At 40.4% G+C, this 26,208-nt stretch overlaps 1 protein-coding gene across 20 annotated transcripts in view, besides 1 other annotated feature; it reads left to right on the top strand.

Moving 5' to 3' along the window:
• Positions 1-26,208, top strand: part of NCKAP5 (NCK associated protein 5) — a 1,003,049-nt gene that overhangs the window by 927,369 nt on the left and 49,472 nt on the right. For 14 of the 20 annotated variants that reach the window (XM_017003975.3, XM_011511100.4, XM_005263660.5 and 11 more), the window contains 2 exons: positions 15,417-15,731; positions 18,516-18,652. In XM_017003975.3, coding sequence (XP_016859464.1) covers positions 15,417-15,731; positions 18,516-18,652 — 452 coding nt within the window. Of the gene's footprint in view, positions 1-15,416; positions 16,566-18,515; positions 18,653-21,708; positions 21,842-26,208 lie in introns of those variants that run through there. The other 6 variants (XM_047444134.1, XM_047444129.1, XM_047444133.1 and 3 more) reach the window with 2 other exon arrangements.
• Positions 124-293: an enhancer, noted in NCBI's record as "active region_16540". NCBI's record gives its function as "activates an Ori minimal core promoter by ATAC-STARR-seq in GM12878 lymphoblastoid cells {active_cell/tissue: GM12878}" and the evidence as "EXISTENCE:reporter gene assay evidence [ECO:0000049][PMID:35858748]".

The raw sequence follows: 26,208 nt of genomic DNA, 5'->3' as shown, positions 1-26,208 counted from the left end.
GCTTTCCTCCCCCATAAAATGAAGATAATAATAGCTATTTCCCACGATTATTGAAAAGATAAAGGAGTTCACAAAGCCCTTTGTGACCTGCATAGATCTGGGATTAAGGAATAGCATCAGTCTTGTTCCCTGGTGATTCTTGAAGATGCTTTCTTGCCAACACCACTTTCAGATGCCTCTAATGATTATTCAAGCGTGTACCCTGGGGAAAGCACAGTTCCTTTGCTCATCTGTGTTCAACCAGAGTTCACTGTTTGATTTCAGTTTTGGTTTTCTTTGTTTTGTTTTTTTTTTTTGGCAGGCTGAGTATAAAATGTTTAAAAGCAGGTTCATGGAGGTATAATTTATATATAACAAAATTCATCCTTTTGAAGTGTATAGTTCAGTAAGTTTTTGTAAATGTATACAGTTGTATAACCACTATCACAATCAAGATTTACAACACTTTCATCACCCCAAAATACTCCTTCACGCCTTTTACACCCCACCCTCTCCTAATACCACTGCTCCCAGGGAACCACTGGTCTGCTTTATATCAGTGTAGTTTTGCCTTTGCTAGAATTTCATGTAAATGGAATCAATGATAAAATACATAATATTGGGGGTTTGGCCTCTCTTAATAAGCATAATGCTTTTGAGGGTCATCCATGTTGTATCAGTGGTTTTTTAGTTTGTTTATGTTTTTATTGCCCATTAGTATTTTGTTGTATGAATGTACCACAATTTGTTTATCCACTGGCTGATAAACAATTTGATAGTTTCCGGTTGGGGCTATTATGTGTAAAGCTGCTATAAACATTTGTGTATAAGTCTTTGGGGGGACATATAACAGTAAGAGTATTATAGCTGTGTTGCATGATGGGTATATGTTGCTTGCGTTTTATTTTCTTAACCGTGTCTTTGAAGACAAAATTTTTAATTTTGATTAAATCTAATTTATCATGCTTTTATTTTATGGTTCATGTTTTCTTGCTCTATTTAAGAAATTGATGCCTAATCCAAGGCCACAGAGATACTCCGATATTTTCTTCTGGATGTTTTGTGGTATTAGATCTTGTGTTTGGGTTTATGTGTTAATTTTTATATACAGTGTGAGAAAAGGGTTTACTTTTCTTCAGATGAGTATTTATTGTTTTTAATACCTTTTGTTGAAACACTATCTTTCTTCCGTTAAATTACATTGTCATCTTTGTCAGAAATCAATTGAAAATATATGTGTGAGTCTATTTCCGGAATGTCTGTTCTGTTCCACTGACCTATGTGCAAATCCTTACCCAATACCACACTCTCTTAATGAACGTAGCCTTATAAAGAATTCAGGCAGTGTCAGACCTCTGACCTTGTTTTACTTTATGAAAATGTTTCCATTTTCACATAATTTTAGAATCAATGTGTCAACGTCTTTTTTTAAAAAAAAACCTGATAGTGTTTTGATTAAAATGTCATTGAATCTGTAGATCAATTTGAAGAGAATTGATATCCGAACAATTTTGAGTCTTCTGATCCATGAATATGGCAGATCTCTCCATTTATGTCAGTATTCTTTAAATTTATCTCTACAATGTTTTGTACTTCTTAGTGTACAAGGTTTCACCATTTTATAAGATGTGTTTTTTTCATATTTTGATGCTGTTAGAAATAGTATTGTTTAATTACCAATTATTTATAATACATACTAATACAATTGATTTTGCTAAATTATCCTTGTATGATGTAACCTTGCTAAACCACTTATTAGTTCTCATAGTGTTTTGGGAGATCCCTTAGAGTATTCTACATACACAATTATATTGTCTTCAAATAAAGACAGTTATACTTTATTCTTTCTAATCTCTATGCCTTTTATTTCTTTTCCTTACCTTGTTGCACTGGCTATAACCTCCACTATAATGTTAAATGGAAGTGGTAAGAGCTAACATTCTTAACATGCTCTCAGTCTTAGTGGGGGAACATTCAGTCTATTTTTTTCAAATATGGTGTTATCTGTAGGTTTTCTGTAGATGCCCTTTTACACTTGTACAGAGTGAGAAAGTTCTCTTCTATTCCTAGTTTGCTGTGTCTGTTTTTTTTTTGTCTGTCATGAAAGGATGTTGAATTTTGTTAAATGATTTTTTCTATGTATTTTGAGATAATCATATGGTTTTTCTTTTAATATTGATTTATTTTTAAATGCTAAACAAATTTTACATTCCTTGGGTAAATGCCACTTGGTGAGTAATTTGCTTAATTATGCAAAAATGCTTAATAGCAAATCAATTATTAAACATTCTTGCATCCATTTTCATGAGTTATATTGATCTCTATTTTTCCTCTATGTATGATGTCTTTGAGTTTGATATCAAGGTAATATGGTCATTATAAAATGATGTGGAAAGTGTTTGCTCTTCTCCTGTTTTCTAAAGGAGTTTATAAAGAAATGATCATTTTTTTCATCCTTATAAATTCTGAAGAATTCAATAGTGAAGACATCTAGGCCTATAATATTTCATGAAAATATTTTTAATTCCAAATTCAATTGCCTAAATTGATATAGGACTATTTGGTTTATCTTTTTTCTTGAGTGAGTTCTGGTAGTTGGATTTCTCAAAAAATATTTCCATTTTATCTGAATTGTAAAATGTGTTGGCTTAAGTTTGTTCATACATACATATTATCTGTTATTCACTGGAAGATCTGTAGTGATGCCTCCTTATTCATTCATAATATTGAGAATTTTTGTCTTTTCTCCTTTAGTCAGTGTTTCCTCAATCTAGTTGGAGGTTTGTCAGTTGGATCAGTCATGTAAAATAACCAGCTCTTTGTTTCATTGATTTTTAAATTGTTTTTTTTTTTAATTTTCTTAATTTCAGCTCTCATTTTTATGTCTTCTGCTTAGTTTATGTTTAATATGTTCTTATTTTTCTAGTTTCTTAAAATGAAGTCTCAGAGCACTTATTTTAAGCCTGTCTTATTTGTGCTGTACATTTTTGTTAAGGCACTGTTTAGCTGCATTCCATTGTATTTTCATTCATTTCAAAATATTATTTTCCATTTAATACACAGGAAATTTAGTAGTGTACTGTATAAGTTGTAAATGTTTGGAAATTTTTCTAGACATCTTTCTTCTATTGACTTCTCTTTTAATTCTCTGATGCTCAGAGAACATATTTTCCATGGCTTCGGTGATTTTAAATTTTCTAAGACTTCTTTTATAATGAAGGATATGGTCTATCTTAATCCATGTGTACCCAAAAAGAATATGCATTCTGCCCTTGATGGGTAGAGTGTGCTGCACAATTCACATTGGTCAAAGTTTTAAATTATATTGTTCAGATCTTCTATGCCTTGTGATAGTCTCTCTACTTGTTGTATTAATTACTGAGAGAAGACTTTTCATTTTAATTTTAGATCTGACATTTTCTCTTTTAAGTTCTGTCAGTTTTCTGCTTCATAATTTTGGAGTTCTATTGTTATAGATATACATATTTAGGATTATAATGTCTTGATAAATTTACCTTGTTATAACTATAACATATTTCTTCTGATCCCTGGTAATATTTCCTTTCTAAAGTTTACATTTTCTGATATTAGCATAGTGACTCTAGCTTTCTTTTTATTAGAGTTTGCATGCTATATATTTTTCTGTCCCACTTTTCACCTATCTGTTTTTTATATTTAAAATGAATGTTTTATCTACAGCATATAAATAGGTATATTTTGTATACCAATTTTTATTTTATCCAATCTGACAATCTCAGCCTATTCATTGGAGTGTTTAGACTATTTTAATTTTATGTAATTATCTAAATGGTTGGATTTAAATCTACCATATAATTATTTATTTTCTGATTGTCTCATCTTTCTATTTTCCTCCTTTTCTACCTTTTTGACTTGAATGTTTTTATTGATTCTGCTTTATTTCCTCTTGTAACTTATTAGCTATACCTCTCTATTTTCCTGTTTTAGTGAGTGGTTTAACATTTAAATGTAATTTTATTACATTGTTACTTTATCATAATCTATTTTACATAATATGTTACAGGCTATTTTCATATAACCTCTCCCATCCTTTGTGCTGTTATATATTTTACTTCTATATATGTTAGAAACCTCACAATAAACAAAATATATATATAGATCATATATTACTATTTCTAGTGTTCTCCATTCTTTAATATACATCTGCCCTGCAAATTTTAGCTGCCTTGATCCTCATATCTGTCCCCTTTAACACCTATATTTACCTCCAGGCTATGTTTGTATTCCATCTATGTTTCAGTCTAGAAACCATCTCCAGGCAGTTGGCTGGAGTAACTGTAGGGCTCACTTCATTTGTTTTCCTTGATTCAGAGATCAAATTCTGTGCTTATCTTTCAATGTCAGAAAACACTGCAATTGTGTGTGTGTGTGTGTGCATGTGCACATGTGTTTCTGTAACAATTTAATTCTTCATGGATGGAAGCAAAAATCTATATATATTTTTACCCATATCCATATCCCCTGGTCTGTTGGATTTCATTACTTCTTTTATTATCTTCCTGTAGAGACAGCCATGGGATATTGGTGAATGGAGGGTAGCCACTGAAATGGAAAGATGGACTCATCTCAACTTCAGTCTTCCCTTCGTCAACATTTCAACTACAGTCACATAAAAGAAAAATAAATGATCCTTGATATTCAGCTAAAATAGATTATCTTATAATAATTAAAATCCTTAGAAGCAAGTAAAACATGTTAAAATGAATATTTTTTAAAAGCTTAAGGTTGTGAAGTCTTGAGCTTTCTTCTTTTCTGCATATAATTGAAAAAGTAATTAATACTGATTAAATATGGAGACAAATGGAGAAAAACATTTTTGAACTTTAAATTCTTATCTTTCTGAAGACTTTGATTAAATATCTGTAATTACAGTAATATAGGCAGGCTAAAATTATTTATACTCTTAGAGTATCTAACTTCAAATTTTTAATTTAAAAAAGTTAGAGCAATAATGAATAGGGTGATCTGGCTCCAATGCTCCTGTAAATATCTTTAATAAAATTTTCATCAGTTGCTAAATTGATAGATCTGAATTTCCCCATGCTTCCTGGTTTTTATATGTTTCTTGACAAATAAAGCTGATTTAAATCTCTTCCTGCGGCATTGTACCCCAAGTTATTTTCTTTACTCTCTTCCCTCATGTGTCTTATCAAGGCAGATGTTATCCAGGCAGGTGAAATTAAGAATAGAGGCAGTTGTCCATGTAATTCACCAAACCTGATGTGAAGTAAAAGAGATTTAAAGAGACAGAACCACCCATAATAGCCACCTGTGTCTATCAGATTCACCAAATAATTGTTTAACTTTTCACTTCATTTTGGCATGACAGCTAGAGATGGAGTGAACCTATGGGCATGAGTAGATTGTTGTACAGAAGCAAAGATAATCTTTTAGGATTGATATGTTATACCTTCTGTAAGGGAAAATCATGACTCACTAATTTGGGTATGTGATCTGGGAATGTAATGAGTCTGTGAACAAAGGAGAATGCGTAAAGAGCATTTGTTTAGGTTTAAAATGCCTTGCATACGCACAAGCCCAGAAGTGGGTTAAAAGGAGATACCAACAGATAGCTAAATTGTAATTAGATTGGGGGAAAAAGGTTGAGCATAGAGTAATTTTGTTAGAGAATGGGCAAGGATAACAGTGCGAAAAGGTGGATAGATAAGTTGGCATTTCTTCAATTAGAAAAATGGCAATTAAGGATCAGGGCTGGAGCCATTGTGATTCTACATTTATTTGGCACTCTAGAAGGTTTTGCTAATTAAAGTAAGTTTGTTTTTTTCAGTTAGAAAAATGTCAAACCAAGGAGGACAAGACTTGATGTATGGATACAGAAGTGGTTAAGTGGTAATCATTGCTTTGTGAGGAGTTGGGAGAGTTCTGTGTCCTACTCTTATAAACAAGGACTTTGAACTGGAAGTGATAACTCTTAAAACAGGACCTAGGAGTCTGGGATCCAACTGTGAGTTCCTAAGTCAGATGACCTTGTCAAACAAATGCTGGCCATTAAACTGTAGTGGTCACATTAGCCCACTCTTACGTATCACAGTAAGTACTGTGTACAAGTGTAGCCATTGTTTTTCAAGAGAGGCATATTAGCATAGCAAGACGTGAAGCAGTTATGTGAAGACTTCAAGATTTTTCAGTCTGGAGTGACAAGAGTATAGCGATAATTATAAAAACTTGCAAAAATCTAGAAGTGTTTGGAAAATTGCATAACATATTCTGGAATACTAGACCAATAACCATTCCCAAAACTTTAGAAGAGGCCATTTCAGTATTAGTGACAAGAAGAAGCACATGAAGGAGTTTTTTTTCAGAGGCTATAACAGCTGTATATGAAAATAAATTCAAGAAAGACTTCTATAAAGGCATGGTCTGTGTGGGCATTTGGAATACATTTCTAACCATTTCCAATTTGTATCCTTAAACTACATCCTACCACAGTAATTTACATGATGCTACTGTCAGACAAAGAATATTGGAGTCACTGGATACCAACTTAGCCTGAGATGCCACTTCTTTTATATTGGTTTAAATAACTTCTTCATTTGTACTAAGGAATTTCATGGTCCATTTTTTTTTCTTTTTTAATTGTTTGTCATATTAATTTCCTACATTTTAAAAATATTCATCCCCTATGCAACTCATTCCCTATGCAAGACTCCCAAAGTCTGGTCTTCCATTATCCCAAAGACAGCACAAGAGATTGGAAAGCACATTTATATTATCCTGCTTGGTTTTCAAATCTCAGGAAGCTAAAATCCAGTTTGAACTTAGAGGCTGAGTATTCTCATGAACTCCAAAGCCATCAGAGTGAATTTACCCTTCCAGAAGGTCATCTTAATGCCACAGCCAAAAGCTACCCAATGGTTGTGAATAAATAACCAGTATAATCACTTTTTACTACTTGGAGAAAACCATGGGGTAAACTTAGAATGGATCACTAACATTTAATTGATGTGGCTTTGGCAACAGACTTAGTTTTTTTTAAGCTTGTTTCAGCCATTCAGATAAAGAGAAGGATGTGCAAATAAAGAGATCTGTTTTCCCATCTGTAGTTTAAGTTTCTGCTGCCAATACCACATGTAGCTTAAAGATGTTTAGGAACCTGGAGAGACCTTCTACAAAGACTTATTTACATGACCACTTGCATTATAGGAATGCATGCCAATTAATAAGATGGTATGAATATTAAACACCCATGAGTCACTCTTTCTGACTGAATTATGTTGGGGCCTCATTGTATGTTTGGCTGAAACTTTTATGGCTGTGTGGAAGTTTTCAAAGTGAAAAAGTTTGAGTTTCAAAGTTTTCTATTTTTGTGGGATTTATGAATGAGGGTTGCAGAGGGGAAAAAGGTGATTACTAGCATAATTTGTTTGGATCTGTAAGTGGGTAGATCGTTGCACAGAAGGAAGTATAAGCTTTTAGGATCCATGTGCTGTAAGTTACTGAAAATCATGGTGTAGTAATCTGGGACTATTACTTGAGAATGTCATAAGTCTGTAAACAAGGGAGAATCAGCAGACATCATTTGTATAGGCTTTTTAAAAAGCTTTTTAAGGTGCTGCCTCCAACATAGATTTCTCAAAAACACAGACTCTCTGTTTTCTCTACATGAGGCAGATTGCAGCTACCTCAAGTACATTGGTGCATATTCATCATTCATTAATGCTTTTGATGAACTGACTCCCAGGGAAATGATTGCCAAAAGGTAACTCCTTGGGAAATAAGCAGGGTAGTTGTTGAGTAAAGTGTACCCAGATGCTGCAGTGTAACACTACCTGCACAAATGACAATTTGGTTTCCCTTGGATTCCATGATAGTATATGTATTATGTACCTACAGGGGCCCTCACTTCTCCCTGACAACCGGTTATAGAAATATATTGAGTGTCTGCTTTATAATGAGCACTCTGCCAGGCTTATTTAAAATGAGCTATGACTATTTAAGTCAGAATAGTTCTAAAAAGCCCTTGTTGTCCCACAGCAAGCAGGTAGCCAAGCAGGTCTTTGAGCTCAGTCTTTCCAACTCTGAAGCATATAGTCTTCTCACTTCATTTATCTGAATATTCAGAGTAACTTAGAACTAAAGTCAGGTTTCCTTAAACCTGGCCTATAATAATCTCTTTTGACAGATACGTTAATAATACCAAGAGTTTTGAGGTTACAAATTCAAACCATTACAGATATGTGAAATTGGATCCGTAAGAAAAGATGGAGACACTTGAATCTGCAGAAGAAAAGGCTGAGAAACAAATTAGTGGCATTTCCCAAACACCACAGATCATTGCTAATTCATATCCTACTCACTTGGAAATTTATATTAACTGAAATAGTGCTGGAAATCAACTTTTTTTCTTTGCAGCTATTTATAAAGATGATGTTGCTATGTGAACGAATATGGTATAAAACAAGTTTGGAAGAAGCATAGTTTATATAGTTTGGATATTTGTCACCTCCAAATCTCATGTTGAATTGTGACCCCCATTGTTGGAAGTGGGACCTGGTGGGGGTGTTTGGGTCATGGGAGTGGATCCCTTATGAATGGCTTGGTGCCCTCCTTGAAGTAATGTGTGAGATCTCACTGTATTGGTTCACACGAGAGCTGTTGTTTAAAAGAGTCTGGCACTCACCCCCCTCTCTCACCATGTAACACACACCAGCCCCCCTTGCCTTCCATTATGAGTAAAAGCTACCTGAGGCCTTACCAGAAGCTGAGCAGATGTCAGCATCATGCAGAATTATGAAATATATCTCTTTTCTTTATAAGTTATTCAGTCTTAGGTACCCATTTATAGCAATGCAACATGGACTAAGGCAATAGTCAATGAAGTTAACAGAGTGATTTGCTTTAAAAGAGGGCAACTCACTTTTCTGGCTAAATGCATTAAGAAGTTCATATAATGAGTAATCTCATTCATTCACTACAAATGGCCCCAGGAACGTGACTCTTTAGTAAGAACTTAGTTCTCACAATACTGTGGATGCTGGTGTTAAACAGTATGGCAGCATTCCACTTGGCATCTAGAATTCCTTGGGATGAGAGCCAGAGTTACTGTGCCACACTAGCTTCCTAGACCTGGGACCTTCAGGCCCAGTGATGCTGTGTACTGGCACAGGGACTGAGGAGGATGTTAGAACAGCCTACTGTTGGCTGTCCTTTGTCTTGGTCATCCATTCTTGTCCCAAGGACTTTAAAGTACTAAGAAATCCATCATTAAAATATTCAGGAATTCTGAATGATCTTATCTCTGTGGCCATCTAAATTAATGAAGTCTGGCTTCATGTGAAAAATAACTACAGAAAAGGGAGTCAGTTGTTTGCTTTGGTTGCTAAAGTCAGAGCAAAAAAGAAGCAGATTGTGATTTCACAAGAAGAGGTTCACATCCATTAACGATGAGGAAGACCATTCTAAAGGTTTATTGTTTTTCATTCACCTGTTCATTCATTCCACATCAGTGAGGGCTGACTATGTGTTAGGTGTGATGCTGAGCACTGGTGATAGAGTCAGACGCCTGGGAAGTATAATTACCATTCTGTAGAATAAGAGCAATCATGGAGCAGGAGCCACTTATATGGGAGAATGGAGGAGATGAATCAAATCCAGTTATGCCTGCACGATGCTTACAGTCTAATAACATTTATTTTGAGAACTGTTGCCATTTTCTGAATTATAACAGTGTGCCTCTTGCAAGCATTGTGCCAGGCTTATCACATGCTTTGTTTCTAGTCCTCAAAGCACCCCTATAATGAAGATAGTGGGATCTAATTTGCAAATGAAGACACTAAGGCCAGAAGCGGAGGCAGCTGGGAGTAGGGAGCAGCAGGGTAACACTCATTAGTGAGATGAGTGGGGATTTTCAGCCACACACCCTAAGGTAGCAACTTGAAAATCCCCAGTGGAAATGTTTCTTCAAAATTCTCTGCCACCATCCCACAAGGAACCACACCCATCTTGGCTGCTTATGTCCCTCTGAGACACAGTAACTTTCCTCTTTACTGAAGTCTGGTGCCAGACAATATTTCTGCCCCAAGCAGTCTTAACATTCTTCCCCCAAAAGGAGAGCCTTGTAGAAAGTCCTGTATTTGCTTCTAGGAGACTGAAAAGGTCTCCTCCTTGCATACCAAACATATGCAAGGGAATGTATTCAAGGTGTCAGTAAAAGAGAATGGGGACTCCATTCTCTATGAGATTCTCTACCATTCTGCTGTAGACTGCTCTGAATGGGTTCCAGGTGTACCGAGATGGAGCTTGTTCAGCCCTCAGTTGACCAGTTGTCCTGGGGACTGGTGTTTTCCTCAACCAACTGTATATTTCCTATGTGCGATACAACTTTAAAAGGACTGGGAAGTAGTGCCTTAAGTCATCCCATGAGGTGCCTGGGTCTTGATGGTGGTGGTAACTGTGAGAATTTGTTAATACCTTGAGAGACAGAGAGAAGGCACATGGAACAATGGGAACAGGTGAGAGGGTTGACCAGAATCAGAGATGTAATTGGTGACCTTGCAAGGATGAAGCCCGTTGGTACATCCAACAACCCAACCCTTGAACTTCTTAGCAAGGCCCTGTGGGCAACTACACTCACAGCCAGAAATGTGAACTTACATTTGTGGGGTTTTTTTTGTTTTTCATTTTGTTTCTTGTTTTGTTTTGTTTTGAGACGGAGTCTCACTGTCACCAGGCTGGAGTGCAGTGGTGCGATCTCGGCTCACTGCCACCTCCACCTCCCAGGTTCAGGCAATTCTCCTGCCTCAGCCTCCCAAGTAGCTGGGACTACAGGTGCATGCCACCATGCCCAACTGATTTTTTTTTTTTTGTATTTTTAGTAGAGATGGGGTTTCACCATGTGGGCCAGGATGGTCTCGATCTCTTGACATCCTGATTCGCCCACCTCGGCCTCCCCAAGTGCTGGGATTACAGGCATGAGCCACCGCGCCCAGCTGTGAACTCACATTTGTTGAGAGCAATACTGCATCAACTCATTGAAGATGAGGGAGGCTTGCCCCTTTGAACTTGGGTCCTACTACAACCATTTGATTATTTTGTGAGTTCTTAAAATTCTCTGAGAAAAAAAACTGGCTTCAGAAGTACAATATCTTAACACTTGTAATTCGGGTTACAATATTTTTATGAACTGCAAGAAACTAATTGTGCCTTAAAGAAACTACATAAAGATGGTGTCAGCATTTTCAATATAAACTTCCATTTCCAAAGGTTTATGTATTCTGAAGACATTTTCTTGCAGGGAAACTTGGCATGTGTCTGAGCCCCTGACTGTCCACACCTCACTTCATAGGTACTTACAAATGAATCCTTCACATTCACTACATTTGGCATCTGTAATTTCTAGAAATAAAAATGGCCTTAATAGTGAATGGTTTATGAGTTTAATGTCAGGGCATGCAATTCTCTGGGAATCAGAGAACTCAAGAATTCCAAAAGTCCTGTTTTATAGGCTCTGGTATAACAATATTGGGTGTTGAAAGGAAAGTAAAATAATTTAAGGGGACTGATGCTAGAAAATGTTGTTGTCTTCAGAAAGGCTCCAGACTTAGACCACCTTCAACATTTTTTCTACCCCCAAATTCCTCCTCTGGCCTATTTCCTGCAACTACCCGATGGCTTTGTGTTATAGGTTAGACAAACGTGTATGAGCTTTGTTTATGGCACCTATTGCCAAAATGAAAAAGGCTGTCAAGATTCTTACTTCGGTTTTTGAATCATCATTTGAGGAGACTGGATTAAGTGCTCTATGTGCCTTATAATACATAGAAGAGGGAGACAAAGCCAGAAAAACATTGCCCTTGGAAGTCTGCCTATCACCAAGCTAGAGGTGTATTAGGCCATTGTTACATTGCTATAAAGAAATACCTGACGCTAGGTAATTTATAAGAAAAGAGGTGTAACTGGTTCATGGTTCTGCAGGCTGTATAGGAAGCATGGTGCTGGCATTAGCTGCTGGTGAGGGCCTCAGGAAGCTTCCAATCATGATGGAAGGTGAAGGAGGAGCAGGTGTCTCAAATGCAAGAGCAGGAGCAAGAGAGAAGGTGGGAGGTGCCACACACTTTTAAACAACCAGATTTCATGTGAACTCACTTGTCACTAAGGGGATGGCACTAAGTCATGAATGATGGATATAACCCCCGATTCAAACACCTCCCACCAGCCTCCAGCTCCAACACTGGGGATTACATTTCAACATGAGATGTAGCAGGGACGCAGATCCAAACCATATCAGGAGGCAAAGTAAACTCTAAAAAAAATCCTGGCGAGAAGTCTAAGGATTCAATCCAAGAGGGCAGAAGGAAGAGTTGCTAGGCATTTGGGATTCTCAGAACTATATAGATATGGTTGCATAGGCATCCTGCAAAGGACCAGACAACCAGCTAGATGCCAGGCATGTTGACAGTGGACTCCAGCCACAGAATGGGGAGCCCAGGAACCAAGCTAGAATTCCAGGGCCAGCACCAATTTCAGAGGAAAAGCTGGGCACCTTGCCTGGAAGCCATGGGGCCATGCTGTGAGGCTTCTGCTCACGTGGCTGCCTGAATGGCTATGAACTGAGCAGAGCCCACTTTGGGGTTTACTTGTGCTTCTGCGGGGAATCAGTATAGCTTGGTGGCTAAGAGCATTGTCTTTGTAGTTAGGCCTAGATTCAAGTCCAGGCTTTCATTTACAGCATATGACCTTGGACAAGTTGCTTAACCTCTTTTAGCTGTGATTCCTCATTTCTAAATGGCAATAATAGTTCTTGCCTTATAGGTATGTGAGGATGAAGAAATGATACAAAGAAAGCAGAACTCCTAATAGCTGTAATAAGCACCAAACTTTTGATGACGCGTCTTCTCAAAAGAAAAAGCGCCCCTAACGTCCTGCCCTGCTGAGCCCTCTTTGATTCAGGGATAGGTGGTCCTGAGGATGCTGGGGTAAATTATTAGGGCAGGCAGCCTGGGGTACATAGGGTCTGACACATCTCAGCTGCTACATCCCATGAATCTTTGATTCTCATCTTCAAAGACTGAGTCGGTTCTGATGAAGATCTACTTACTCCTGTAAATCTGAAATATTTCAGTCTTCCAGAATTGCCCCAGTTACAACACATGGACATGTAAATCTGAAGTGTTGTATGTGTAGGCTAAAATTAAGAAAAGACACAGAAGTCTGAATAGCAGTGTCCTTTCTTTGACTCATCTGGCAGTGCCTCCCCATGCAAACAGATGATCCTTTCTCAAAAACACCATTCTATAACAATTAAATACCCTTAATTGAGGAGAAAATGAAAAGAGAAGGTCATGAATAATCTGCAAGTCTGGTTGAGAATAAAGCTGGCCAGGTGGGGGCCCTGAAATTAATGAGGCTAAAACCCTTGTAATCCTGGGAAAGAAAAGCACTTCTCTTGGTGCGTCTGTATGATTCAGATATCCTGGAGTCCATGACCAAACATCCCATGGCATATGAGATGGTTAAATGACACCATAGTGGAGAAAAGAGTATCTGTATTTTCCTACTAAATATCCCTGTGAAGATTGAAGCCTCTTGAGTAGGGACTTCATCTTCCTAGTACTTCCAATACCAAGCACCAAACCTCTTTGAGCCTAGAAAAGCCAACTCTGTACACATTCCCATCCCTTTATTTTTGCCTCAGTATTAGGAAATTCCCAGACTTCTGCTACTCAGCAAAGAGGTTTTGAGGAGGAAGGTAGGGGAATGGGCAAATTCTGAAGTTTGGATAGTAATTGCTTAGTATGAAGTGAGATTGTATAGAAAAGATACTTAAGGATAAGCTGTTCACCTATCAGATATCTACTAATATGTAATAAATATACTAAATACTTTGTGCATTTTGCCATTCTTTATTCATTTACTTGGCTGTCTCACAGTGTGCTTAGTGCCATTCTAAATTCTAAGGATTAAATGATGAACATACTTTAATCCTCACAGCAGTAAAAGGAACCTTAGACCTCGAGAGGCTAAAGCTCTTGCACAGGGGTTGAAACAATTAGTCATAGGCGGAGATCACACCACAAGCCTCTGTTCTTAAAGCACCAAAGAAGTGGTAGCTGTTGAGCTTTTGGTACAAACATTATGTCGTAATCTATTACATTCCCCACCATGCCTAACACAGTGCTAAGTTGTTCCGCTTACCCAGTGCTAGACTTGTAAGATGCTTCTAAGATGAAACCTAGGAAGTTTCCTTCCAGGATTATCATATGAACAGGAGACTTTCTGGGTGACATCCAGATCTTGGAAGCTGCCTCATTGGCCTTGATAAACCACACCACCATTCCAGAAATGACGTGGTAATTTTTTCAGATACTGTACTTTTCTCCGTATATAAAATGTTTTGCAGCTGACACACAATTAACAGACTATGTCACACACATGGTGAAATCATCTTAATTTGTTCTAGAGAATAGTGGGATCCCTGGGACTGCCAAGAAATCCAAAGCGTTATTGATGAGTTTTGTCATTGAATAAAGTGAGAGTGAAAGAAAGTGGCTCGCAGTCTTCTCAGCTGGGTCGAATGAAGTCCACATGATAAGTGGTGTTATGATGGGAAAGGTACCCTTTGGGATGACCCTTCTGGCGTGTGAATTACTTGTCCCCACAGTCAAATTAAGAGGCCAGAGATTTAGTCAACTGCTGAATGGGTGATCATTCATGCACGAGATACACAATTACCATTGTTAGGACGTCACTTCAATTTATGTGTTCTCATTACTCATTATTTCAGTTAATAAATTTCACCTAATTGGTTGAAGTTGTATGATTCCCAGATTGAAATAAGGGTGACCACAATTTGGTCTCTAATGACTGTTCCTTTTCTGATTATCCAGGATATATGCACAAGCGACTATTGCTGCTTGTAACAGGCTGGTCTTCTTATCTCATATTACATGAAGGGGGATGTTTTCAGGTTCAAAAAGGTCCACTTCATGCACCTCACTGGAAATTTACTACACCACTAATACTGGTTCCAAATGCTTATCATTTTTCTTTTTTTTTATTACACTTTAAATTCTAGGGTACATGTGCACAACGTGCAGGTTTGTTACATATGTATACATGTGCCATGTTGGTGTGCTACACCCCTTAACTTGACATTTACATTAGGTATATCTCCTAATGCTATCCCTCCCCCCACCCCTTGACAGGCCCCAGTGTGTGATGTTCCCCACCCTGTGTCCAAGTGTTCTCATTGTTCAATTCCCACCTATGAGTGAGAACAAGCGGTGTTTGGTTTTCTGTCCTTGTGACATTTTTCTTTTTCTTAAATTCACCCTTCTAGGTGTCTCCTTTCCTCCAGATCATACCCCAATTTCCATGATTCTTTTATCCTTTTATGTGAGCCTTCTCTATTCCCTTCTCTCTCTGTCTCTCTATCTCAGAATCCAACTGCCAGATGAGAACATTGGACAGTGGGATCGGAACCTTTCCACTCCCAGACTCGGGAAATCGCTCGACAGGACGCTACCTATGCCAGCCAGACTCCCCAGAGGACGCTGAGCCTCTCCTGCCTCTCCAGTCAGCCCTTTCTGCAGTTTCTTCCATGAGAGCCCAAACCCTTGAACGTGAAGTGCCTTCCTCCACAGACGGCCAGCGCCCTGCAGATAGCGCCATTGTTCATTCCACATCCGACCCCATCATGACCGCCAGAGGGATGAGGCCTCTTCAGAGCCGCCTCCCCAAACCAGCTTCCTCAGGTAAAATGCCAATTTCCCACCCTTAATAAGACATTTGCTGACAAAAAAAAGGGAAACTTTTCACCAGGAGATGAGTAAGTCAGTGACCTGCCTGATAAAAATGTAGATATGTGAAAATTCCTTCATGTCCTTCACCAACAAGCAAAACAATGTGTATAAGACAATATCTACTCATAGTATTACATCAAGCAGTACACACACATATAAGGAAACAGACATGTAAATACTGGTATATGGATATATGAACTGATTAAGAAAAAAGCCATGCAACATACACTTGTGAGGTTTTATCCTATAAAACTTAACTCTGAATATAGACCAATTTCAGCCCAAGATATAGATTTAACTACAATGTTGTTTGCCTTCTAACCAGAAACATACGTGTTCTGGTGTATTCTTATCCAGTTAAAATATCTTTATATGTTGAACTATAAAAGACATAGTTTGATAAATCAGCAGTAGATCGTGCACCGATTGCAATAGAATAGAGTGAGTCTTCCCATTGAGAAGTACTATCCTTCGTGGCAGTCAATTGAAACAAGATTTCATGATGAAAGACAGGGCTGGGCTAAGGGTCATCAGTTTTTCATTGTTCCCTCACGATTAAAAATGTGTATTGCAGCCCAGGATGACACTAAATAATTTTTAACTTGTATGTCTTATGTTGCTTTTACAACATGCATAAATATAGGAACTAAAACTTTAAATCGAACACTTTCATGTATGAGTTGATGATTAGAAAGGAGCTGCAAGTGGAGATTATGCTATAGGCTTCTGAGAAATTAGAAAAGGAGACTTTTAATTATAAATCTTTGAATAAATGTGATTGGGCTATTCCCATGGCTGAGTTCTTCCTTTATATAGGAATACCCATTGCCACGAATGTTGCGTCACAAACTTCTGCTCATTCCAAGTCAAGGCTACATTTTTAAAGACTGTAATGCATATTATTTTTGAGATAAATGTGTTGTTAATTAATGACACAGCCTCCAGAGATTCAGGGGCGAAATCTTAGTTATAGGTTGTGTACTCCATGCCTGAATAGTCACATATGTGACCTCAATTCAGCGGCGGCTGCTGTAGACTCCGTGATTAAACACTGTCATTATAACAAATTGAATAGAAACCGCAAGTCTTGAATTGCTTCATAAGGGATCAGAAGGAGATTTTTCAGATGTTGCTGCTAATATCCACTGCACCAGGTATCTAAGGTTCTGTCTTTTTTGTTTTTGTTTTTGTTTTGAGATGGAGTCTCACTCCGTCGCCCAGGCTGGAGTGCAATGGTGCAATCCTGGCTCTCTGCAACCTCCACTTCCTGGATTCAGCTGAGTCTCTTGCCTCAGCCTCCTGAGTAGCTGGAATTACAGTCATGTGCCACCATACCTGGCTAATTTTTTGTATTTTTAGTAGAGATGGGGTTTCGCCATGTTGGCCAGGCTGTTCTTGAACTCCTGACCTCAGGTGATCCGCCTGCCTTGGCCTCCCAAAGTGCTGGGATTACAGTCATGAGCCACCGCACCTGGCTTTGGGTTCTATCTTAATTAAATTACAGTGAAGAGTTGTAAAAAGGTAGTATATGGTAGAGTGTGAGGTGAACACACTGCAGGAAATTTTTGTCACCCATCCTGAACTTTCCTGTCCTGACATAATATCTGTGGTCCAGAGGCAGGGCCTACTTTCCAGTGCTTCTCTTTTCTGTGTCCATCGGTTATGCATGTTAAAAATTAGGGAATGAGGACTAGCTGGAACAAAAAGAAAATGAGATTATAGCTCCTTTTTGAGCAGTCACTGCCAATTCAAATGTGTACATTTGAATTGGTTATTTTTCTTATCCCCATATGAAAAATGGAAGTCACTATACAAAACTCACAGTGCTGATGAAAACACAGTTCTTAGCTTCCCCTCACAAACAAAATGCTCTGGAGAGGCTGTCACAGCATGTCTTGCTTATAATCACTGAGGTTGGAGGATAATGACAGCAATTCTCCATTCTGGCATGACAAAGGCATACACTATGCAGGTTAATCTACTTTCATGGGTAGTGGGGAAACTCTCTTTAATTGTTCTCTGCTAATTACACCCTTGCTACTCAATGTGGTCCATGGGCCAGCATCATCAGCATCACCTGGGAGCTTGTCAGAACTGCAGACTCTCAGAGCCCACCCCATACCTACTGAATCAGCATGCACATGAACAAAAGCTCAGCTGATCCATATGTACATTAAAGCTTGAAAAGTACTGCCCTGAGAGATGTTTAAGGGCTCCAAGCAAAGCTTCCCAATCCACACTATTCAAAATAACCTTAATACGTATTTTAGGAAAATCGGGGTTCCCTATGTTTGAGGAAGCCTGCAAATTCAAATCCTCTCTTCGGAAACTACGCTAATGCCCATTGGCACACTGAAGCCTCTGAGAAGTCCTCCAAAAAAGAAACTTGATTGTTGTTGGATGAATAACATTATTTGAAGAATAACTTTAGTGTTTCCTGAATGGTTTGCCTGCTGAACCCTTCCTAACCTGTAGTCTTTCAACATTTTGTAGAAAAGTAGTCTAAGAACAGTTTGCCTCGGGGTCTTGAAAAGGGGCTTCTATAGATGTGTATACATAATTAAGCAGATGTTTTGGGCAGCACAGACTACAGTGGGACAGAGTGGCAGGAAGCCCAGCTTTCACTGTATTTGGACCTTTTTTATTATTTCTGAATGTCTCCCCCACCTCCTTCCCTAAACTTGTAAAATGTTGATGAAAGGTGATATGTGATTCCACATACGTGTCCTCATTTAGGAAAAGTCAGTTCCCAAAAGCAGAATGAAGCAGAGCCAAGGCCTCAGACATGCTCATCATTCGGATATGCTGAAGACCCAATGGCAAGCCAGCCGCTTCCAGACTGGGGGAGTGAAGTTGCTGCCACCGGGACCCAGGTGAGGGGTCGGGGGAGGTGAAGGGTGCAATCCACCTGTTGGTCCTGATTCTAAAAAGTGTACCCTAAAAACACTTTTATGATAGATTTCACTTTAAATGAAATTTGCTGTTGGTTTACTGAATATAAACCAAGGTCTAGGGTTCACCCTTTCCCCTGCCTTATTAAGGAATACTGTGGGTTCTTGGGACACTTTTATTCTGAAGAAATCAAAGTGCTTCTGAAATGCACCCAGATTCTTGGGTATGGATGCACTCCCCTGATTAGATATTGTGGGACAAGCATTCACTCTCCCAAGCCATGTGGGCGCCATTGGAATGATGTTTTTTCTATTTTTTCAGTATCTCAGTAGTTATTTTAACCTTTACTTTGTTCTTATGAAACAGGGAAAGCAGATCTAATTCTATTGCTTTTAAGGATGGCTAATCAGATGCTCGGTGTGGTCAAATGACTTGCTAGAATCCGTGAGCCCTGAGTTTCATTTTTGCAGTGGGTTCTTCATCTGCCCTGAGATGACACACACGGAACTCCTGATGGGTGGCTATGGGTGGCTATGGGTGTCTGGCTCAGGGACTCCTTGCTCATTCCTAGTGGGGGTTATGTGGTACCCCCTCCTGTTTACCGTTTCCAGCAGGTTACTCTGACCATGGTCAGCCTATTTGCCATTTCACCACTCGTCCTGGGGTGGCCCACTGCAGCATCTGCCCTGGTGCCTGGTGGTGAGAAAGGAGGAGGAAGACACATGGTTCATTTTCCAGAACTTCCTGGCCCCTCCTTGGCCCTTCCCACTTTTGCTGCCCTTGGCTTTCCCAGGTCTGGTATCAAGAGCCTTGGTTGCTATTTTTACTAAAGTTTCTGCCCAACTATGATGATGAGATACCCAGATTCACCCACATCTGAGGTCTCCCTCACTCAGTGTGGCCAAACCACCTTTCAACCTTGAGCATCTGCCTCAGTATGGAAGGGGACCATGGACAAGTAGGGGAGCAGATCCTCTGGGCCCACAGCCTCAATTTCCAGTGGGGAACACTAGAGTCCTGCTGGACCATGTTCAGGGTCCCGGGGAAAGTTGCTGTAGAGCCGAGACTGGAACTGGGCCCTCTGAAGTCCAGGGCAGCACCTGGGATGGCTGCCTCCACAAGACGTGGGTCTGAGAGGCAAAGGAGGAAACTGCTGTGTTCTGCCATGCCTTAAGTCAAACACAGAATGTTAGGGCTCCTCCAGATCAGTGCCTCCCAAACCGGAGCAGGCATCAGAACCACCTGAAGGGCTACAATCTTGTTGCCCACATAGACTTGTGTCTGATTTGGCATATACGGAGTAAGGTGTACACATTTCTAACAAATCCCCAGGTGATGCTGATGCTGCTGATCCATGGAACACACTTTGCACAGAGCATTGCTGCCACTGTTCCAAAGGACTCTGTGCTGGCTTTGGGAGGATTGGGAAACTGGCAAATTGAGAAAATTGAGAGCTGTAAAATTTAGAAAATCATGACAGACACACAGAATTGGAGAGCAGAAAACCAGTTCAGGAACAACAGTTGGTGTTGATGGCAAAGGAGTTTGAATAATTCCAAGAACGTAAAAAGGAAAAAAAAAGTTACTCTTGCTGACCCAGAGGGGACCTGCACTCCTCACATAAGACATACATCCACCAATGGACACACTTCTCTAGGATTCCCTTCCTCATCGTCCTGCACTAGCCCCATGCACTGGAAATCCTTGAAACTCAGAACCCTGCTTTGTTGACTGCCAGATAGGGAACGTTTCAAGCAGGAATTAGCTTTATATTTCTAGTACCTGGCACGATGCCTGGTTCAGTTAGCATTTGTTGAATGGAGCTATGAAAGGATGTACCTCATCATGTCCAGACTGGACTGGGTCCTTTTGGAGGTCTGGACACACGTTACCCAGAACTACAGTCAGTAGACTTGTCTTTCTTCATGGACTTAGTCCTTGCTAGACTACTGGTATCTCCAGTATTAAGCTCTCCACCCCTAAAACCTAGCATACTGCTTAGCACAGAGTAGTTACTTAGTAAACACTGTTGAATGGATGGGTGACTAAGTAAATGAATGAAAGAGTAAAGGAAATGAGTGCTTGAATTTATAACCCCAGATAAGCGAGTTTACATCCTAAAATGTGTTTTTACATTCCCCAACCAAATGACACCCTTCTAAACAAACTTCAGAGACCCATCTAATGCATCTGTATTGGAACTATCTGGCTTAGGGAGGAATAATAGGCTCTAACAGGACATTCTACAAACAGAAAAAAGGGCCCCAAATAACCTCGATTCAACACATAGGAGTTGCGCTCCTGGATCCAGTATTCTGCTTATGTGCACAGAGGGGAATACTGTTCATACAGCGTCAACCGCCTCAGCAATTTCTGAATACAGCATCATTGCCACACCAGTGACATCCTTAGGGGATGGGGTCAGGTGATGTGTACATGTGAGCAAGAGGGGAAACTGGGCTCCTCAGCCCATGAACTGTCAGCAGATTTGAGGATTACATGGAGTCAGCAATTGCTTACTTTTCTAAAAGCTACTGTCCTTTTGGGAGCTGAAAGAAAATTATAAATTAGGCAAACATTTATTCTTTTGTTCCCAAGGTTGATTGTTTTATTACCTTCTGATACTTGGAAGGCAATGATGAGATCAGTTAAATAAATAAGCCATTAGGTTTGGAACAGCAGCTCATAATAGGCACTTGAGAAAAATAAGACCCTATAAAGAAGTGTACAAAATGCAGACCAGGTAACCGTGGGGACCTTCCTGAGCCTGGGACAACGGCAGAGTGCCGTCGACAGCTTCATTATTGCAGGCCTATTTCTGCAGCTCTGGTAATTGAGTAGACAGCATCAGCTCCTCAGGAGGCAGAAAAACCGGCAAACCAGAGTTGCTCTCGGGTGAGCGGCGGGCTGGGCAGTGGGAATGGAATTCTGTGCACACATTGACAGCCAGATGTGAACTGTGTCGCATCCTCACAGGATGCTCTGCCTCATTTTGATTTGTATGAATTATCTTAACAGTCTCATATTACTCATTTAGGACAAGGCACCCAGAATGTGTACGTACTCTGCCAGCGGTGGCAGTAATAGTGACAGTGACCTGGACTATGGAGATAATGGTTTTGGAGCTGGAAGGGGACAGTTAGTGAAAGCACTGAAGAGCGCTGCCCCAGGTAACAACCAGCGAACTTGCTGGCCCTGCAGGTTCCTCTCTCTGGGAAGCCGCTGATTATACCTTTCACTGTGCTCGGCCCCCACCCTCTTTGATTTTATGTTTTTTCTTCATGTCTCTCCTGAGATCTAATTTTCTGGTACATACAGAAGATTGTCTATGCACATCCATTTGTTTTCTGGTGTAATCTTCATGACATTGCAGTGCAGTCTGTAAGGATTTTATTTCTGAATCCAGCATGTCTAAAACAGCCTCCAATTGAGTTATCTCAATAATGAAGGAATGACTATAAAGATAACTGTTCTTAATTATATACTCTGGCAAGTTAAATCATCCAGTGAGCTGTGGATGGAGTTTTCCAGGCTCTCTGCTAACGTCATGCTGTGTAGCCCTGGACCTGTTAGCTGTGCCATTATGAACAGGTCTGTTTGTGAGGTTGAAGCTCCCTCACCATCTTTGTCTTTGAGCCAGAATTGGCAGTAGAAAAGTCATTATCTCTAGACATTTAAAACTATGTCTATTCAGATGGTACTTCCTTTCAGATACAAGAGAACAGACAAATCCCTAACACAAAATGTGATCTGGGCTCTGCTTTTCTTCTAATTCATTCTGGATTGTCAGAAATATTGTAATGATGCAATGGAAAGCTATTCTTTTCCTACTAATCAACTTTTTTCTAAAATACTAATTTATAAACTATGTAATGAAACCATAATTTTATTTTTTTAAAACAAGTTTGATATGTTTAGGGAAAAAACATAATCTAGTAGCCATGTGTATTTCCAGTTTTCAGAGAATCTTGGTATTTGCGTTGGGGGAGGGAGGGTTAGAGTAGCATGTAAGAAGAGCTCATTAATCTGAATCACCACTTTGTCCCTTGCTTCTTATAAGTTATCAGAGAGGTAGGATTGGTGGTTGAATCATGCGAAGGTTTACCAAGAAGAAAATGGTGAATACCCCTGATGTTTTAGTTGGTTGTTGTCCCTGTTGGCTCTTTGTGGTTCATTGGTGTCCCTCTGACTGTGATAGATGAAGGGGAAGGGGAGTTCATTGTCATGGAGCTCGCCCAATGAAGATGCCTAGGATGATGCCGGCTCCTAATCCATGCTGTTCCCTTGAGCTCATTGTGAGTCCTCAGGGAATAGCCTCACCTCACCAACCCTCAGCCACACACCCAAGAATGGTTTCCAGGGCCCCTTTCAGCTCTCGAACGTTCTCCATTCATTATTGAGTAAGTATTTGTTGAAAGCTTCCTCTGAGCCAGTTTTCCAGCAGTGAGTAAATGGACAAAGATCCCTTCCAGATAGTAAACAATAGATATCATAAACAAGTAAATGTATATAGTTCGTTCATGGGAGATGAGTGCTACAGAAAAGACAAAGTCAGGCAGAGAAGGGGAGAGTGAGAGTGCTGGCAGTTGGAGGAGAAGTTGAAATTGAAGTGGAATAGTCAGAAGGAGCCTCACCAAGAAAGCGACTTTTGAGCAGAGAGAGCTGAAGCAGGAGAGTGAGTGAGCCAGGAAGGGCACTCCCAGTAGAGGGAATGGCCAATGTGGTAGACTTGAGGCAGAGCAAGCTCTGGAGCCCAGGAGTAGCAGGAGGCTCGCATGTTGCTGCAGAGAGAGCAACCTGATGGATGAGGCCAAATGAGAAGGGGCCAGAACCCTAGAACCCTGTATGCCTTTCTGAGGACTAACCACTCCTCTGAGAGGGAATTTGGATGACTTAAAGCCCAGGAGTGGCATGACGTGCAAAGTTTAAAAAGGATGCGTCTGGCTGCTGTATTGAGAAAACTGAAGAAGCAGGATCAACTAAGAGACTGTTACAGGCATCCAGGCAAGAGATGTTGATAGCTTGGACCAGGGTGGTTGCACTCCACACAGTGACCAGCACTGGCTAAGTGACCTCCCTCAACGATGGAAATGCTCTATGTCTGTACACATGGCTGTTAAGCACCTGAAACGCAGCCAGTGCAAGTAAGAGACTGAATTTTTAAAATTTAATTTGTGCTCCAGTTTTCCTAAGAGTTCTCATTTGGGCCATTCCTTCTTTTCTCTTTTATTTGAAATTTTAATTAATTTTAATGTAAATATAGTCACATGTGGCTCGTACAACACAGGGAGTGAGAACAGTCGGATTCCAAATCTAATTAAAAATACCACCTAATGGCCGGGCGCGGTGGCTCACGCCTGTAATCCCAGCACTTTGGGAGGCCGAGCCGGGTAGATCACAAGGTCAGGAGTTCGAGACCAACCAGGCTAACACGGTGAAACCCCGTCTCTACTAAAAATACAAAAATTAGCCTGGCGTGGTGACAGGCGCCTGTAGTCCCAGCTACTTGGGAGGCCTGTAGTCTCAGCTACTCTGAGGCAGGAGAATGGCATGAACCTGGGAGGTGGAGGTTGCAGTGAGCCGAGATCATGCCACTGCACTCCAGCCTGGACGACAGAGCAAGACTCTGTCTCAAAAAAAAAAAAAAAAAAAAAAATACCACCTGGCTCAGGCCAGGCATGGTGGCTCATGCCTGTAATCCCAGCACTTCGGGACGGTAAGGCAAGAGAATAACTTGAGGCCAGGAGTTGGAGACCAGCATGGGCAACATAGTGAGAACCTGTCTTTACAAATTTTTTTTTTAAATAAGACAGGTGTAGTGGATGTGGTGGCACATACCTGTGGTTCCAGCTACTCGGGAGAGGAAGGTGGGAGGCTTGCTTGAGCCCTGGAATTTGAGGCTACAGTGAGCCATGGTTGCACCACTGCAGTACAGCCTGGGTGACACAGCAAGACGCCGTCTCAAAACAAAAACAACAACAACAAAAAACATAATACAATTCACTGGTATACTGGAAAAAACGTAGGGTCAAGGATGACTCCAAGCTTTGGCTCTTAGAAAGGCTGGATTTGCCCTTGCCTTCTGCCAAGTGAAATGGGAGTTCTGCGTGGACATGCTAGATTTGGGGGCCCATTAAGCCTGCAAGTGGAAGTGGTGGGTAGGTGGGAGGCTAGGAGAGTCTGGGGCTCATGTAAATTTGAGTGTCATCAGCACATCAACCGCATTTGAAGCTGTGTGTCCAAATGTGATGAGGAAGGGAGGGAGTGTAGCCCAAGAGAAGACTAGGTCCTCCTGCCTTATCTCAGTCACAGAGAAGAGGAAGACCCTGTGAAGGAAGAGGAGGGCTGGGGAGCATGGCGTCTTAGAAGCCAAGTGAGGAAGGTATGTCAAGGAGGAGACTCATGATTCTGTCTGTTGCTTGTTACTAAAAAGTGGCAAGCAATCTTCAGTTCTGTCCTACCCCTTCCTCTGCCAGTGGGGTTCCAGTGTAGACAGGAGAAGTAGGAATGGAGGGGGAGGATGGTCTAAGTGTCCTGAAAAAGGAGACAAGATTTAAAACAAATTCACTGACTCCACATGAGAGAGTACCTGGGTATGAGGGCACTTACCTTAGGGCCCATGTTTCAGCATCATATGCCTGTCTACATGAGTTGCGCAAGGCAATCAAGAATCCGCATTAGGTTGTGGCTTTGGATGACCTCATGATGAACAGTAAATTTACTGCTTGAAGTTGTTTTTAAATCCTTCTGCAAAATGAAGTGAGTCCCAGCCTGAATATTTTTCTCTGTCAACTCACTTTGCTCATCCTATTTCCTCCAACCAGAGCAAACCCCTCTTTGAAAAGGAACATCTCTATTTTATTCTATTGCTTTAGCTTCTTGGGAGAAGGTGGTGAGGTCCTAGAAGCAGCACAAACAGCAAGACAGTCTTTCCCTCCACCAAGGTGTCTGCGACCTGCCTTTAAAAGAGGATGTGTTGCCAGAGATCTGTCCTCGCACACCCTGACAGCCACAGGTCAGCCCCAGCTGTGGCAATGCTGCCAGGAAGGGAAAATGTTCTATGCAGACAGCTGGCATGGCTGTGGGTGTGTGCTGGCTTCCAATAACCCTAGGAAGGGGCATTAAAGGATGGATGCAGCACCATTAACTTTCTAAATGTTGGCAAAGGTTGTATAAAAAGAAAATAGAAACAGGAGAAAGACAATAACAGGAGGACGTGCCTTGAGTGTCTGGTGGAGATTTTATTCCCCGTGAGTCAGTGTTTCCTTGCTTTCGTCGCACGTGCCTGTGAAAAGGAGATTGGCCGTCCCACCCCTGGAGTCCCTTTTGAAATAACAAGGCTCTTAATAGAGGTCCCCAACCTGCAGGATGGAATTCACCAATAGATCGTGAAGCCTTATTGGATGTTTGCCAAGATAGCTGCCCTTTTCAAACACACCCTTTCTCCTTGGTTCCCTGAAATTTCTTTTTTTCTTTTCTTTTGTTTTCCAAGACGGAGTCTTGTTCTGTCACCCAGGCTGGAGTGCAGTGGCATGAT

This window comes from Homo sapiens, chromosome 2 (genome assembly GCF_000001405.40).
Source record: "Homo sapiens chromosome 2, GRCh38.p14 Primary Assembly".
NCBI lineage: Eukaryota > Metazoa > Chordata > Mammalia > Primates > Hominidae > Homo > Homo sapiens.
Note: the sequence above shows the minus strand (reverse complement) of the source record. Positions and strands in the feature narration are given on the sequence as shown.